Below are 16,998 nucleotides of genomic sequence, written 5' to 3'. Positions count from 1 at the left end.
GGCTGTGTATGCTCTTAATCAGCATCCAACATATGGTACTGTTTCTCCTATAGCCAGCGTTCATGGGTCCAGGAATCAAGGGTTGGAGGTGGAAGTGGATCGATCACTCATCATCACCCCTAGGGATCCACTAGCAAAATTTTTGCTTCCTGTTCCTGCAACATTACGTTCTGCTGGCCTAGAAGTCTTAGTTCCAGAGGGAGGAATGCTGTCACCCAGAGACACAATGATTCCATTACACTGGAAGTTAAGATTGCCACCTGGACACCAGGGAGGGTGGCTCATGCCTGTAATCCCAGCACTTTGGGAGGCCGAGGTGGATGGTTCGCCTGAAGTCAGGAGTTTGAGCCCAACCTGACCAACATGGAGAAACCCTGTCTCTACTAAAAATACAAAATTTGGGAGGCCAGGCCTAGTGGTGCTTGCCTGTAATCCCAGCTACTCAAGAGGCTGAGGAAGGAGAATCGCTTGAACCTGGGAAGCAGAGGTTGCAGTGAACTGAGATCGCACCATTGCACTCCAGCCTGGGTAACAAGAGCGAAACTCCAACTCAAAAAAAAAAAAAAAGATTGCCACCTGGACACTTTGAGCTCCTCCTACCTTTAAGTCAACAGGCAAAGAAGGGCGTTACAGTGTTGGCTGGGGTGATTGGCCCGGACTATCAAGATAAAATCAGTCTACTCCTCCACAACAGAGGTAAGGAAGAGTATGCATGGAATACAGGAGATCCATTAGGGCGTCCCTTAGTATTACCATGCCCTGTGATTAAGGTCAATCGGAAACTACAACAGCCCAATTGAGGCAGAACTACAAATGACCCAGACCCTTCAGGAATGAAGGTATGGGTCACTCCACCAGGAAAAACACACGACCTGCTGAGGTGCTTGCTGAAGGCAAAGGGAATACAGAATGGGCAGTAGAAAAAGGTAGTCATCAAAACTAGCTACAGCCACGTGACCAGCTGCAGAAATGAGGACTGTAACTGTCATGGGTATTTCTTCCTTCTTTTGTTAAAAACATGTTTGTGCATGTAGACCCTTGTACTAAGAAAATATCTTCATTTTATTTCCTTTTCCTTTATCATGTGACATAAGATTTATTGACTTCCTGTCAGCATTTACGTATTGTTAACTTTATATAATACTATTTGGGTTGGGGATTGGCGCATTTCTAGTTGTACAAAGGATAGTTGTATTATGTTAGGTGTAATTATGACCTTATTGTCTTTAAGATTACATATGATCTCAGGGGATGTGTATGGGTTCAAGTTGACAAGGGGTGAACCTGTGATGGTTAATACTGTCACCTTGATTGGATTGAAGGATACAAAGTATTATTCCTGGGTGTGTCTGTGAGGGTGTTGCCAAAAGAGATCAACATTTGAATCAGTGGGCTGGGGGAGGCAGATCCACCCTTAATCTGGTGGGCACAATCTAATCAGCTGCCAGTGAATATAATAGTGTAGGCAGAAAAATGTGAAAAGGAGAGAGACGGGCCTAGCCTCCCAGCCTACATCTTTCTCCCGTGCTGGATGCTTCCTGCCCTCAGACTCCACGTTCTTCAGTTTTGGGACTCGGACTGGCTCTCCTTGCCCCTCAGCTTGCAGACAGCCTATTGTGGGACCTTGTGGATCCTGTAAGTTAATACTTAATAAACTCCATATATATATATATATATATCTTATTAGTTCTGTCCCTCTAAGAGAATTCTAATACAGGAGCATATAATTCTACTTTTACCAAGTGGCCAAGTCTCCTCTGTTTTTTAATTCCCATGATTAGACCCTAAATTTAAAAAAATAATAATTTCAAGAAGTCTTTTAAACTTATACTATCTTAGAGGTTTCCCAGAGAGTCCTTGGCAATCACAAAGATTTGTTTTTTTACCTCTTAGAAGGGAAGGCCAAAGTGGAATTTTGTCTGGTATCCTTTATATTTTGTAATTATTTCAACACTATTTTAAGAAGCACATAGTAAGAATTGTCAAATCAAAACAGAAGTGCGACTTTCTGTTGGTTAATTTTGAACAAGTGAAATATTACTAAGATAAATATGAGGCCAGGCATGGATGGTGGTTCACTCCTGTAATCCCACCACTTTGTGAGGCTGAGGCAGGAGGCTTGCTTGAGCCCAAGAGTTCAAGACCAACCTGACCTACATACAAAATACCCATCCATACCATTTTTTTTTTAATTAGGTGATTGTGGTGGCATGTTAACTGTGGTCCCACAGTACCTGGGAGACTGAGGTAGGAGGATTGCTTGAGCTCGGGAGGTGGAGCCTGCAGTGAGCCATGATTGTGCTACTGTACCCCAGGCTGGGTGACAAAATAGACCTTGGCTTAAAACAAACAAAGAAACAAACAAAAAACATAAATATGTTTCAGGTACTGTGTATACTTTACATGTAGGAGATTTGGCAATGCTCTCACTATCCCTAACATGTTCTTATCTTCAGGAAAATGTTTATTAATATTTAATAGAATTGTTATATATTTTTCCCTATAAAGAATTATATTCTCCGTCGGGCATGGTGGCCCATGCCTGTAATCCCAGAACTTTGGGAGGCCGAGGCAGGCAGATCGCCTGAGGTCAGGAGTTTGAGATCAGCTTGGCCAACATGGTGAAACCTCATCTCTACTAAAAATAGAAAAATTAGCCAGGCATGGTGGTGGGTGCCTGTAATCCAGCTACTCAAGAGGCTGAGGCAGGGGAATCGCTTGAACCCAGGAGGCGGATGTTGCAGTGAGCTGATAGCACGCCAGTGCATTCCACCTTGGGCAACAGAGTGAGTCTCTGTCTCAAAAAAAAACGAAACAACAACAAAGAATTTTATTCTCGGCCAGGCACGGTGGTTCACACCTGTAATCCCAGTACTGTGAAAGGCCAACATGGGTGGATCACCTGAGGTCAGGAGTTCGAGACCAGCCTGGTCAACATGGTGAAACCCAGTCTCTACTAAAAACACAAAAATAAGCTAGGTTTGTTGGCGCTTGCCTATAATCCCAGCTACTCGGGAGGCTTAGGCAGGAGAATCGCTTGAACCTGGGAGGTAGAGGTTGCAGTGAGCCAAGATCAAGCCACTGCACTCCAGCCTGGGCCACAGAGTGAGACTCCGCCTTAAAAAAAAGAATTTTATATTCCATTCTGATATTATTCGCTACTCTTACTAATTAATCAGAGCCATTCAGTCTTATCACCAACATGTGGTTCTGCTTTTCTCTCATGCTTGCTTAAATGCTCTGTCATAAGCTATAAGTAAAAATTGGGTCTTCATCAAAGAAGAACATCCTCAGAGCCTTATGAACAAGACTGTATCAGATACTCTAATTATTAATACTGCAGTGAATAAACTCGTGGGTATAGGCTTCAAGCTGGCATTGCTTATACTCTGTCTCACTATATCAGGGCACTTAACTGTGGTTTCAAGATTATTTTTAGATCAGAAGCAGATGACTCTGTGGAAACCCACTAACCCAATATCCTGTGGAGCAAGATTTACATAGAACTGAAAATCTAATAGTGACCATTTGTTTGATGAGGAATATTGTTATATTATTCCTAATGTTCTAGTTTCTGATGTGTATATGGGAAGCCCTTTATTTTCCTTCAAATTCTATCTCCAACTCTGAATGTAGAAAACTACTTTTTCAAGCTGGGTGTGGTGGCTCATGCCTGTAATCCCCACAATTTGAGAGGCTGAGGAGGAAGAATCACTTGATCCCAGGAGTTTGAGACCAGCCTGGGCAACATAGCAAAACCCTGTCTCTACAAAAAATGAAAAATTAGCCAGGCATGATGGTGCACGCCTGTAGTGCCCACAACTTGGGAGGCTGAGGTGAGAGAATTGTTTGAGCCTGGGAGATGGAGGCCACAGTGAGCATGTTCGTGCCACTGCACACCAGCCTGGGTGACTGAACAAGACCCTGTCTCAAAAAAAAAAAGAAGCCTTCAAAGTTTTATCTCAAACCTAGCAAATATATTTCTCTATGCATTTTCAGATTATTACATATTTCTTGCTCTTATAATTCTTCTTTAAGTTAACTTATTATCTGACTCATTAATGATTTAAGTAATAATCACTGACACGTGTTCATTCTATATTTATATGAAAGCCATGCTTTTAAAACTTATATACTTTTAAAATTATACACTGACACTTCTTAACAGCTTCTCTGATTTCTCTCTTCTAATTCAACCTACATACTGCTGTCAGTGTGGTCTTCCTAAAATATCATTTATGTCACTAACTCCCTTTCTTGCTGAAACCTCCTATCAACAAGATAAATTTCCAAAAGTCATCAGCCTAATATTCACAGTCCTTGACTGTTGAGCTCCAAGCACCTTTAGAACTTTATAGTCTACACAAATCTCTTTTAGGCCAAGCAAAAATACTGTACTTATTTTATTTTACCAGTTTATCATATTAAAAAAATTTTTTTTTAAATCTCATCTGAATGGCTTTCTCTGTTCTTTATCCTTCTTGGAATTTCTATTCCTTCAGGCCAGCTCATTTTATCTCAGCCAGTAGCCCCCAGTGGAAAGTGGGTAACTGAACACTTATAGCATTTAATACAATATAAAGATAATATATATTATATGTATGTATAACATGTATATACATATAATATATTACGGTATAATAAAGAGTATATCTGGTCTTTGTCTCAGTTCTTGGCATAGAGCTTCAAAAATTTTTGGAACTTCCAGAGTGACAGAAATGTCTTTGTAATACTAGGGGCATGACTCATTTTGGGCCACTAGCCTCAAGATGGTGACTGGTCATCAGAAAGATCAACCATGTGATTAGAGGATTAGATGGTTGGGACTTTGAGCCAGGCTGACCTGATTGAGTTCATTCACTTGGTCAATGATATACTCAATCAATCATGCCTACATAATGAATCTCCAATAAAAACTCTGAATACTGGAGCTCAGTGGAGAATCCTGGTTGGTGAACCTTGATGTACCAAGATGACAATTCATCCAAATTTGTTTAGGAGAGGTGACCAAAGCTCTGCCTTCCCTCCCAGAACTTTCCTTATGTGTGTCTTCAATTGATAATTCTTGAGCTGTATCTTTATAATAAAGCTAACAATAAGTAGATAATTTTCTTGAGTTGTTTTAGTAAATTCTCAAACCTGAAGGAGTTATAAAAACCTGAAATGTGAAGCCAAATTAGTCAAATGTATGGGTGGCCTGGGGACCTCTGGCATTTGTGGCTGGCATCTGAAGTAGGGCAGTCTTAAGGAAGACTGAACCATGAACCTGTGACATGTGCACTACCTCCAAGTGGTTAGTGGCAGAACTGTATGGCACTATACTCCAGCTGGGACTGAAACACAGTACATATTGAACACTGTATTATTTTAGAAGTCTACATTTTATGTATGAAGAAAACATGTTACTTCCTTTGTCTGCTTTATCCAGCCATCTTGGGAATTCTCTCCCATAGCAGTGGACTATGTAATTTTCCCCACTGGGCACAACTGTTCAGAGTGGATGCATGACCCAGCTATAGCTGAGACACCACGATTCTGTCTTTCAGAAATGTGTATAGGAATACTGAAATGTTCATATGTTGGATGGTGGTACTGGAGCAAGAGGTGTCTGGCATAGTAAGTATCCAACAGATTTTTGTTGAATGAGTAAATGAAAGAAGTGCCTGTGGCTGGGCGTGGTGGCTCACGCCTGTAATCCCAGCACTTTGGGTGGCTGAGGCAGGTGGACCATGAGGTCAGGAGTTTGAGACCAGCTTGGCCAACATGGTGAAACCCCGTCTCTACTAAAAATACAAAAAATTAGCCAGGCGTGGTGGCAGGCGCCTGTAATCCCAGCTACTTGAGAGGCTGAGGCAGGAGAATCACTTGAACATAGGAGGCAGAGGTTGCAGTGAGCCAAGACCGTGCCACTGCACTCCAGCCTGGGCAACAGAGCAAGACTCCGTCTCAAAAAAAAAAAGGAAGTGTCTGTAACTTCAGGGCTTTGATAGCCATTTCTCCCATGTACATGGAAAAGCAGAGAAAATCAGTTTTCTGAAAGAGAAGAGAATAAAGCATGAATGCTTATATCCCCCCAAAATTCATGTTGAAACTCAATCACCAATGTAATTGTATTAAGGGTTAGGGCCAGTGTGGTGGAGCACACCTGTAATCTCAGCACTTTGGGAGGCCAAGGTGGATTACTTGAGGCCAGGTGTCCGAGAACAGCCTGGGCAATGTAGCAAGTTCTTGTCTCTACAAAAATTACAAAAATCAGCCAGGAATGGTAGCAGGCACCTCTGGTCCCACCTACTTGGGAGGCTGAGGGAGGAGGATTGCTAAGCCCAAAAGGTTGAGGAGGCAGTGCACCAAGATCGTCACTGCACTCCAGCCTGTGTGACAGAGCAGAGCAAGACCCTGTCTCAAAAAAAAAGGCCCTTAGGAGGTAATTAAATAATGTAGGCAGAACCTTCATAAAGAAGCTCAAGTGAGTTGTTTACCCTTTTTACCATGTAAGGACACAGAGAAGATGCCATCTATGAAGCAGAGAGCCCTCACCAGACACTGAATCTGTTGATGCCTTTATCTTGGACTTCTCAGCCTCCAGAACTATAAGCAATAAATATCTGTTGTTTATAAATTTCCCATTCTAAGATTTTTTTTTTTTGAGATGGAGTTTTGCTCTTGTTGCCCAGACTGGAGTGCAATGGTGCAATCTCGGCTCACCGCAACCTCCGCCTCCCAGGTTCAAGTGATTCTCCTGCCTCAGCCTCTCGAGTAGCTGGGATTGCAGGCATGCGCCACCACGTCTGGCTAATTTTGTATTATTATTATTTTTTTTAGTAGAGACGGGGTTTCTCCATGTTGGTCAGTTTGGTCTCGAACTCCTGACCTCAGGTGATCCACCTGCCCTGGCCTCCCCAAGTGCTGGGATGACAGGCGTGAGCCACTGTGCCCGGCCCTAAGATGTTTTGTTATAAGAGTCCAAAAGGAGTAAGACAAAGCAGATGCAAAGTGAGAGGCAGAGACAAAAGATCATGTGGCTTTGGAAAAATGATAACTTCTTGGGTCTCCTAAAGATTTTTCTGTTCTAGATCTAGTGAAGCCTTGATGCATCCTGCCTTAGTTTCCCTTGAAATGGGCCTATATATTCCCATTATATTTCTCCATTTGACCAAGTTAGTTTGAGAGTTTCTCTGCTCCTAATGTTAAAGGATTTTTTCTAATGACAAAATCATGAATCTCAGCCAGGTGCAGGTGGCTCACACCTGTAATCTCAGCGCTTTGGGAGGCTGAGGCGGGCAGATCACTTGAGATCAGGAGTTCAAGACCAGCCTGGCCAACATGGTGAAACCCCATCTCGACTAAAAATACAAAAAACAAATTAGCCAGGCATACTGGTGCACACCTATAATCCCAGCTACTTGGGAGGCTGAGGCAGAAGAATTGCTTGAAACAGGGAGGCGGAGGTTTCAGTGAGCCAAGATCGCACGACTGCACTCCAGCCTGGGTGATGGAGCGAGACCCTGTCCCCCTGCCACCCCCCAAAAAAATTATAAATCTTATATAAATATAAAAAGAATGTGTTGAAGATTTTACTGACTCTTTCGTTAAATGAGGAAAACAGTTAAGATATTACAACAGGTCCAAAGGAGAATCCAAACAACAGGTATATGTATAAATCATAAACATTAAATTTCCAAGTGGATGTAAAACTGACTTTTGGGAGAGAAGGAAATTTGTCCCCTCACTGGACAGAATTCATCCACATGGTTATGGATAAAAATAATTTGTATTGCTTCTTGTTTTCTGCAAGATAATTTTAGTCTCTAAGGAGTTGTACAACTCTCTAGTCAAAGCCAAGTAAATATCCTTAGATGATCAGGTAATCCCAGGATTGTACCATTCCGCTGAAAGTATATCCAGAAATCTCTCTTTTTTTTGAGACAGAGTCTTGTTCTGTCGCCAGGCTGGAGTGCAGTGGCATGATCTCGGCTCACTGCAACCTCTGCCTCCCGGGTTCAAGCTATTCTCCTGCCTCAGCTTCCTAAGTGGCTGGGATTACAGGCGGGCACCACCACGCCTGGCTACATTTTGTATTTTTAATAGAGATGGGGTTTCGCCATGTTGGTCAGGCTGGTCTCGAACTCCTGACCTCATGATCTGCCCACCTTGGCCTCCCAAAGTGCTGGGATTACAGGTGTGAGCCACCACGCCCGGCCTGAAATCTCTTTTGTTTATTATCATGTTACGTGTTTCGTTATACTCATAAACGAATGATCCTTGTCTAAAGCGAGTGTTTCTCCTATCTCTATGAGAAACTCATCTGCTTTGTGAAAGATCTGCATAGGTGGAGAGAGAAAAGAAGGGAACCACTGCTGCTAACAATGGCTGAATCAATCCTAGCAACCAAAGGATAATAGAATCCTTTGAATCCAATCTCTCTAACCAGCTGGGTGCGGTGGCTCACACCTGTAATCCCAGCACTTTGGAAGGCTGAGGCGAGTGCATCACTTGAGGTCAGGCGTTCGAGACCAACCTGGCCAACATGGCGAAACCCCGTCTCTAACTAAAAATAGCCTGTAATCCCAGCTACTTGGGAGGCTGAGGCCAAGAGGCAGAAGTTGCAGTGAGCTGAGATCCTGCCATTGCACTCCAGCCTGGGCAACAAGAGTGAAACTCCGTCTCAAAAACAAAAAATCTCTCTAACCAAATTTTAAGCCACTTGAGTACAGGAAACTTGTCTTATATCGCCTAGCTTGCTTTCACAAAGTACCCAGTAAGAAACGGGTTAGAAAAATATTTGCTGCCGGGCGCAGTGGTTCACGCCTGTAATCCCAGCACTTTGGGAGGCCGAGGTGGGCGGATCACAAGGTCAGGAGATCGAGACCATCCTGGCTAACATGGTGAAACCCCATCTCTACTAAAAGCACACACACAAAAAATTAGCCGGGTGTGGTGGCGTGCGCCTGTAGTCCCAGCTACTCAGGAGGCTGAGGCAGGAGAATGGCATGAGCCCGGGAGGCAGCGCTTGTAGTGAGCTGAGATCTTGCCACTGCACTCCAGCCTGGGTTACAGAGTGAGACTTCGTCTCAAAAAAAAAATTTTTTTTGCTAATTGATTGCTCGAAGTCAGCAAATTGAAACAGGAAAGTTGTGACCCCGTTTGAAGATTTAAAACAGGAATGAGCCGGGCGCGGTGGCTCACGCCTGTAATCCCAGCACTTTTGGGAGGCTGAGCGGGTGGATCACGAGGTCAGGAGATCGGGACCATCCTGGCTAACATGGTGAAACCCCGTCTCTACTAAAAATACCAAAAAAAAATTAGCCGGGCGTGGTGGTGGGTGCCTGTAGTCCCAGCTACTCGGGAGGCTGAGGCAGGAGAATGGTGTGAACCCGGGCTGCGGAGCTTGCAGTAAGCCGAGATCGCGCCACTGCACTCCAGCCTGGGTTACAGAGCGAGACTCCATCTCAAAAAAATAATAAAACGAAATAAAAAATAAAATAAGAGAGTAAGGACAAAAACACACAAACTAAAAACAAATATTTTTCCTAGCCTGCAGTTAGCCAGAAATTGAAGAGTCTTGTGATCTAATGAGTGCCAATAAACTCATATCAAACTTTACAGGCTTTGCCATTATCATATTTCAGGAACATTAAAAAATCTCTACAAAACACATGACCAATTATACAACAAATGTCACTTATATGGTATGCTTTTATATGTATAAAAGAAAAATGTCTGTAAAACGCCTGTAAAAAATGTCAAAAGTTGCATGTACAAAGTGCTAGAAAAGTGGGCTGATTGTATCATTCTTGTTTCCTTTTCCTAACCCTCTCTCCCATCCCCAGGAAGCTACTGCGAGCGGGAAATGATAAAAGAGACCTGATAGTGGAGGCAGCTAAGCACTCACCCAGATACAGCTAAGAATGAGGCCTTGAAAATGAGGGAGGACTTCTTCCTGGGAGCTGACTGTTGGGTCAGGAAAGCGTGGCCTCCACGGAGATTCACTGGCCCAGTTTGCATGAGGAGGCCAATCACTGACCAGGGTTCCCCCATCTGCAACAGCTGCATGAATGCTTAGGCATGCTTGGGGAGATAAATATGAGACTAATGACCATAGATAATAAATTCAGAATGTTATGACAGCTAATTGAGAACTCACACATGGGCCTGCGGACTGCTCAGCCAAGGGCCCTGTCTCAATGCTGGCTGCGTTCTCCTTCCCTCCTGGTTGTGTGGGCTGTGGCCTTCTTTCTCGCCTTTAGGTGCTGCTGCTGTGTACACAACTCCTAGTGGTTCTCTTCTCGTCTGACCACACAGTCCCTCTTTAGGAAACCAGACTATGTCACCCCCAAATACGCTTCTTTGACATAAAAATTATTTTTGAGCTGAAGGCAATTGAGAAGCAGCAAACGGGGAAAAAACTCTTATCCTCTAGCTTTTCTTCCTGAAGACAGGATATAGATTCTCCCTTACTGGAGACAGCTCTACATTCCTGTCAGCCCTGAGAGGCCCCAGGAGAGTCTGCAAACAAACTTGACTCCCATGTATTTACCTTCCCATAATTTCCCATGCTTGGAAACCTAAAACCACTTTTCTTTGTCCTGTCATTTCTCTACACGTTTGTTTTTCTTTGTTGAAGATGCCTTGTAAGTGGAGTTCTAAGCCACCATTTTGAGTTACTTTTCACTGACGTTTCTCCCTTGAGATGTGCGCTGCATGCCTTAATAAACTGTTTTTCTTGTGTTAATGCGTCTTTTGTTACAGAAGTCTATTCCAAGGAAGAGCTTAGGAGGGTTGAGGAAAAACATTATCTTTCCTCCCCTGCATCCCCATCCTTCACTTTTCTTTCAGGCTCTAAAGACAAACCCATGACAGGAGGTTTTTTTTTCTCTCTCTCTTTAAGAGTTCTGTTGTTAATCACCACCACCAGGAACCAAGTAAGCGTGAAAAACCATGAGAGAAAAATGAGAAGTTGCAATGTTCTCACAAAACCCCCCCAGTTTCCAACTTAGTAAATGACAAGTGGAAAACAATTTTTGAATTTTTTCCCTCTTACCTTCATTTCTCCAGTGGACGAAAAGGTGGAGTTTTCCTTCTGTGTCACTCTCTTGCTCCACATTTAGATGTAAATTAGGCCTGAAGAAACGATTCTGGTCCAACAATAAGCATCCCTTTGGTACAAGTGGCAATTTACATCTTTCAAAACCCCTAGAACTTTTTCCCCGCCCAGGCAGAATCTTTTGTGCAAAATTGGGACCAGTATAATCCCAAATGGGTTACTTACCTCCTTTTGGAAAGAGTAGAAGAAAAACTTCAGTTTGGTATTTGGAATTGCAAATTTTGTTACTCAGGAGAAGTCTGTATGTAAAGATCTGGCTCCCTGAAAGAAGCATAATTATGAGGAAATTTGTAATTTTTTTAGAATTTTGGTTTCAGAAAAACCTCTAAAAATCTTTAAAATTAAAGATTTAAGGAACTAAAGAATTCTGATTTGGGAAAATTTTGCTCAGTAATATGAGAATTTAGTTTAATAAGTTCTTCACAAATTGAGGTGAAGTTGGGTTACAAGTGCCTAACCAGACTAGCAGTTCCCTTTGGGAAAAAAGGGGCCTTCTTGGGTTGGGTCAGAAAAATCCTTTTTCTTCTGCGACTAAAGACATTACTTTAGCATTAACTTAGGAATACTACCTGATACTTGACCAACATAAAAACAATGCTTTGTGTGATTTTACAGCAAAGTAAATTTAGTAATTCGAGACTGTAACTTTTTTTTTCTTTCCAACGTTTATTTTAAGTTCAAGGGGTGCATGTACAGGTTTGTTACATAGGTAAATTGTGTGTCACAGGGGTTTGGTGTACAGATGATTTTGTCACTCAGGTAATCAGCATAATAACTGATAGGCAGTTTTTCAGTCCTCACCCTCCTCCCACCCTCCGCCCTCAGGTAGGTCCTGGTGTCTGTTGTTCCCTTCTTTGTGTCCATGTGTACTCAATGTGTAGCTTCTACTAATACATGAGAACACACAGTATTTGGTTTTCTGTTCCTGAGTTAATTTGCTCAGGATAATGGCCTCTAGCTCCATCCATGTTGCTGCAAAGGACATGATTTTCTTCTTTTTTATGGCTGTGTAGTATTCCATGGTGTATATATACACATTTCCTTTATCCAGTCCACCATTGATGAGCATCTAGGTTCATTCTATGTCTTGGCTATTTTGAATAGTGCTGCAATGAACATACTCATGCATGTGTCAATACTGCAACTTGGCTGAGTGCATTGACTCACACCTGTAATTCCTATGCTTTGGGAAGCTGATCACCTGAGGTCAGGAGTTCAAGAACAGTCTGGCCAATATTGTGAAACCCCATCTCTACTAAAAATACAAAAATTAGTGGTAGTGGTGGCAGATGCCTGTAATCCCGGCTACTCGGGAGGCTGGGGCAAGAGAATCACTTGAAACTGGGAGGTGGAGGTTGCAGTGAGCCAAGATCATGCCATTGCACTACAGCCTGGGCGACAAGAGCAAGACTCCGTTTCAAAAAACAAAAACAAAAAAACCTCACAACTTAACTACCAGGAGAGTTGCAGATTGGATCGTGAAATAGGTGAAGCTTATGTTCTTCCCTTTCTAATGCTTTCATCCCTTTCATGTTTCCCTACTTTCCAGCTTCTTTATTTTCCAAGTCCTTCTCAGTTAGCTAATGTCTAGTAATTTTATTTTTATAATTTAAAAGTGGATTCTTAAACACCTGAGGGTGTAAAGGAAAGACTCCTGGTAGAATTGAAGCAAGGTGACCACCTATAGATATCTCTATCTGAATGCCTCATGCTGTGATATGCATCTGGTTTCTGCTTGGATGCTTAGTCACTGCCAAGTAATCTTCTACAATTGCTGTTGGCTCACTTACAGCTTGAATTATAGAAATGTTATTAAATTCTTGTTTTCCTTTCTTATCTTCCAAACAAAACATAGCAGGATCTGGCCAGGCGAGGTGGCTCACACCTGTGATCCCAGCACTTTGAGAGGCCCAGGCGGGTGGATCACGAGGTCAGGCATTCGAGACCAGCCTGGCCAACATGGCGAAACCCCATCTCTACTAAAACTAAAAAAATAAATAAATAAATAAAAATAAAAAAAATAAATTGCTGGGCGTGGTGGTGGGCGCCTGTAGTCCCAGCTACTCGGGAGGCTTAGGTAGGAGAATCGCTTGAACCTGGTGGGCGGAGGTTGCAGTGAGCTGAGATTGCGCCGCTTGCACTCCAGCCTGGGCGACAGAGCAAGACTCCATCTCAAAAAAAAAAAAAGAAGAAGAAAAAGAAATACGGCAGGATCTATGATCAGTTATTTATACCTTGACTGAAACTTTCGCTTTGTTCTGCCACTCTCAGCTTCAGTTGCCTTTGTCTTGTACTTGTGATAAACTTTCACCTAATAGACCTGGACACCTGGCCTGCCAACCCTCTTTCAGACTTGACTGAGTCAAATAATCCCAATTTATGTCAGATGAAAGCTGGGCACTGTAATCTCAAGGGAGTCCTCACGTACCCAGCCAAGGCAGGTGGATGCCGTAATCCTGAGATGGGCACTAAATGCTCACAATAGACCACTTTCAACCAGCTCTGGGCTTGAATAACTCATGAACCCAGGAAGGAGTAGCCAATGACATCACTCAGAGACCTTGCTTTCTTAATATGGGACAGATCTAGTTTACTGTATTTTGACTTCAAAGACTATCTCATTTTTTTTCTCCCCTAAGCCTCATTCCCAAGTCTACCTGAAGAGCTAAAATGAACTCTCTGTTTGGCAGTAAACACCTTTTCACTAAGCTCTCCATGTGTGCTCTCTAATAGTCTTATGTTTTTCTTCAACATCTTTGTGAAATAGAAGGCTTTATCTCTTTTCAAACAAATTTCTGGTGTCAAGGGACAGAGAGAAGAGTATTTGAGGAGTGGAGTAATGAGTAGGATAACCTTTCCATGGGCCATGAGATGTTACTTTCCTGACTCATGTCATCATAGCCAGTTGAGAATCACTAAATCTTCTTTTTTAGCATTAGCAAAGAACTGGTCAATTTTTTTTTTTTTTTTTTTTTTTGAGACAGAGTCTTGCACTTTCACCCGAGCTGGAGTGCAGTGGCATGATCTCGGCTCACTGCAACCGCCACCTCCCAGGTTCAAGCTCCTGCCTCAGCCTCCTGCGTAGCTGGGATTACAGGTGCCCGTCAAGACGCCCAGCTAATTTTTTGCGTTTTTAGTAGAAATGGGGTTTCACTATGTTGGCCAGGCTGCTCTTGAATGCCTGACCTCGTGATCCACCCACCTCAGCCCCCCAAAGTGCTGGGATTACAGGCGTGAGCCACCACGCCCAGCCAGAACTGGTCAAATTTTACGTGCTGTTCTTTGTGTTATTGATATGGTTTGGCTGTGTCCCCACCCAAATCTCATGATGAATTGTAGTTTCCATAATCCCCATGAGTCAGGAAGGGACCTGGTGGGAGGTAATTTAATCATGGTGGGGGTTTCCCCAATGCTTGTCTCACAAGATCTGATGGTTTTATAAGGGGCTTCACCCTTTGCTCGGCTCTCATTCTCCTTCCTGTGCCATGTGAAGAAGGACGTGTTTGCTTCCACTTTCTCCATAATTGTAAGTTTCCTGAGGCCTTCTCAGCCATGCTGAACTTTCAGTCAATTAAACCTCTTTCCTTTATAAATTACCCAGTCTCGGGTATGTCTTTATTAACAGCATGAATACAAATTAATACAGTTATTAAAGTCATATTAATACTTATTTGCTCCCTAAATAGAAAAATTAGCATATAGAATATACTTATTCACACTGCACAAATCCTCAGTGGTACAACAAATATACTATTGATCTGTGCTTGGCTTTTACTGGTTAGCATTCAAGAAATATGCTAATAATATAAATTTAAGAAAGTATGCCAGACATAAGACTTTTTTTTTTTTTTTTTTGAGGCGGAGTCTTGGTCTGTTGCCCAGGCTGGAGTGCAGTGGCGCCATCTCAGCTCACTGAAACCTCTGCCTTCTGTGTTCAAGTGGTTCTCCTGCCTCAGCCTCCAGAATAGCTGGGATTACAGGTGTGTGCCACCACGCCCAGCTAATTTTTTGTATTTTTAGTAGATACAGGGTTTCACCATGTTAGCCAGGATGGTCTCCATCTCCTGACCTCGTGATCCACCCAGCTCGGCCTCCCAAAGTGCTGGGATTACAGGTGTGAGCCACTGCACCCGGCCCATATATTTTATTCCTTAGAAGTCCATTCCAGGCCAGGTGTGGAGGCTCACTTCTACAATCCCAGCACTTTGGGAGGCTGAGGTGGGAGGACTGTTGGAGTCCAGGAGCTTGAGACCAACCTAGGCAACATAGTAAGACCCCGTCTCTACCAAAAAAAAAAAAAAATGTATATATATATATTAGCTACGTGTGGTGACACACGTCTATAGACCCAGCTACTCAGGAGGCTGAGGCAGGAGGATCATTTGAGCCAAGAGGTAGAGGCTGAAGTGAGCCATAATTATGCCACTGCACTCCAGCCTGGGTGACAGAGTGAGACCCTGTCTCAAATAAAATTCCATTCCAGTTTTCCGTATGTATATGGTTTATTCTCTAAGGTTTCTTTAAGTCACAGTGAAGTAGCTTCATACTCAAAATATCAGCTAGATTTTGTGCTGTTGATGACAGTGAAGGACTATGAAGAAGTAGAAGGCTAGGTTTCACTTCTATATGGTGATTATAAAAAGTTATCCATAGAAGGTAGGGAGGCTGTGCAGGTGTGGGGGCAGTAGGTACACGGGAACTCTCTGTACTTTCCACTCAATTTTGCTGTGAACTAAAACTGTTCTAAAAAAAGTCTATTTTTAAAAAAAGTTACCCAAGTCAGAGTGAAACAACAAAGAACTGACTGTGTAGGCTCCTGCCTGGGCCACATTTTGATACAAAAGATAGTTAACACAGTGAATTGTTAAAAGTATGATGGATATTGTGCAATGTGATTCACCTGCTAGAGCCAAGACTGCTATTTGTGATTAAATATCTGTTCTTGCCTCCCCCTTAGTAATAAAACCTTCAATTTTTAGTTGGACATTTGGCTTCCTAGTACAGAGGCTTCATTTTCTAGCTGCTCTTTCAGGTAGGGGTGCCAAGTGACTAAATTTCTGGCACAAAAATAGGACACAACTGGAATTGGTGAGTATTTTTTCTGGGCAGTGTACCCAAAGAGACAGAGCATACTTATTTTTTCTTTTTCTTTTTCTTTTCTTTTTTTTTTTTTTTTGCCTTTTCTTCCTAACAGCTTGGCAATTAAGCTGTATTCTCACAATTGGCTGAAAGCATCCCTTTCAGCTAGGTGTGCCATAGGGTTAAGTTATAACCAATAGGTGTAAACAAAAGTACTACCATGTACACTTCTGGAAAATTGTCTTTAAAGGGAGGTAACATAATCTTCCCGACTTTCTTCTTTTTACCAGCTAGATGCTTCAGCAGATTTGAGGAAAAAAAAAAAAAAAAAAAAAAAAAAAAATATATATATATATATATATATATTTTTTTTTTTTTTTTTGAGATGGAGTCTGGCTCTGTCGCCCAGGCTGGAGTGCAGTGGCACGATCTCCGCTCACTGCAAGCTCCGCCTCCCAGGTTCACGCTATTCTCCTGCTTCAACCTCCCAAGTAGCTGGGACTATAGGCGCCCGCCACCATGCCCAGCTAATTTTTTTTTATTTTTAGTAGAGAGGGAGTTTCACCGTGTTAGCCAGGATGGTCTCAATCTCCTGACCTCGTGATCCGCCCGCCTTGGCTTCCCAAAGTGCTGGGATTACAGGCGTGAGCCACCACGCCTGGCCAATTTGAGGAATATTTTTGAGGATGGAAGAACAATAAGATAGAAGACTGGGTCCTCGAGGACTGCTGAGCTGCTTTCAGGCCCTGCTCTATTTCTTTCCAATTTAGTACACATGAAAGAGAAAAACTTCCATCTTGTTTAAATAAGTGTCA

General features: G+C 42.7%; 1 long non-coding RNA gene across 1 annotated transcript, besides 3 other annotated features; it reads left to right on the top strand.

Annotated features, from left to right (window-relative positions):
- The first annotated feature begins 8,459 nt into the window (after positions 1-8,459).
- LOC124902883 (uncharacterized) lies at positions 8,460-10,132 on the top strand. The gene is made up of 2 exons (XR_007063217.1): positions 8,460-8,498; positions 9,831-10,132. It is a non-coding gene; the product is annotated as an uncharacterized LOC124902883 (long non-coding RNA).
- Positions 10,282-10,381: an enhancer, noted in NCBI's record as "active region_6043". NCBI's record gives its function as "activates an Ori minimal core promoter by ATAC-STARR-seq in GM12878 lymphoblastoid cells {active_cell/tissue: GM12878}" and the evidence as "EXISTENCE:reporter gene assay evidence [ECO:0000049][PMID:35858748]".
- Positions 10,412-10,621: an enhancer, noted in NCBI's record as "active region_6042". NCBI's record gives its function as "activates an Ori minimal core promoter by ATAC-STARR-seq in GM12878 lymphoblastoid cells {active_cell/tissue: GM12878}" and the evidence as "EXISTENCE:reporter gene assay evidence [ECO:0000049][PMID:35858748]".
- Positions 13,549-13,658: an enhancer, noted in NCBI's record as "active region_6041". NCBI's record gives its function as "activates an Ori minimal core promoter by ATAC-STARR-seq in GM12878 lymphoblastoid cells {active_cell/tissue: GM12878}" and the evidence as "EXISTENCE:reporter gene assay evidence [ECO:0000049][PMID:35858748]".

The sequence above is a fragment of the Homo sapiens genome, chromosome 12 (genome assembly GCF_000001405.40).
Source record: "Homo sapiens chromosome 12, GRCh38.p14 Primary Assembly".
Classification (NCBI taxonomy): domain Eukaryota; kingdom Metazoa; phylum Chordata; class Mammalia; order Primates; family Hominidae; genus Homo; species Homo sapiens.
The sequence above is the reverse complement of the archived record's forward strand: the minus strand, read 5'-3'. Positions and strand labels throughout refer to the sequence as shown.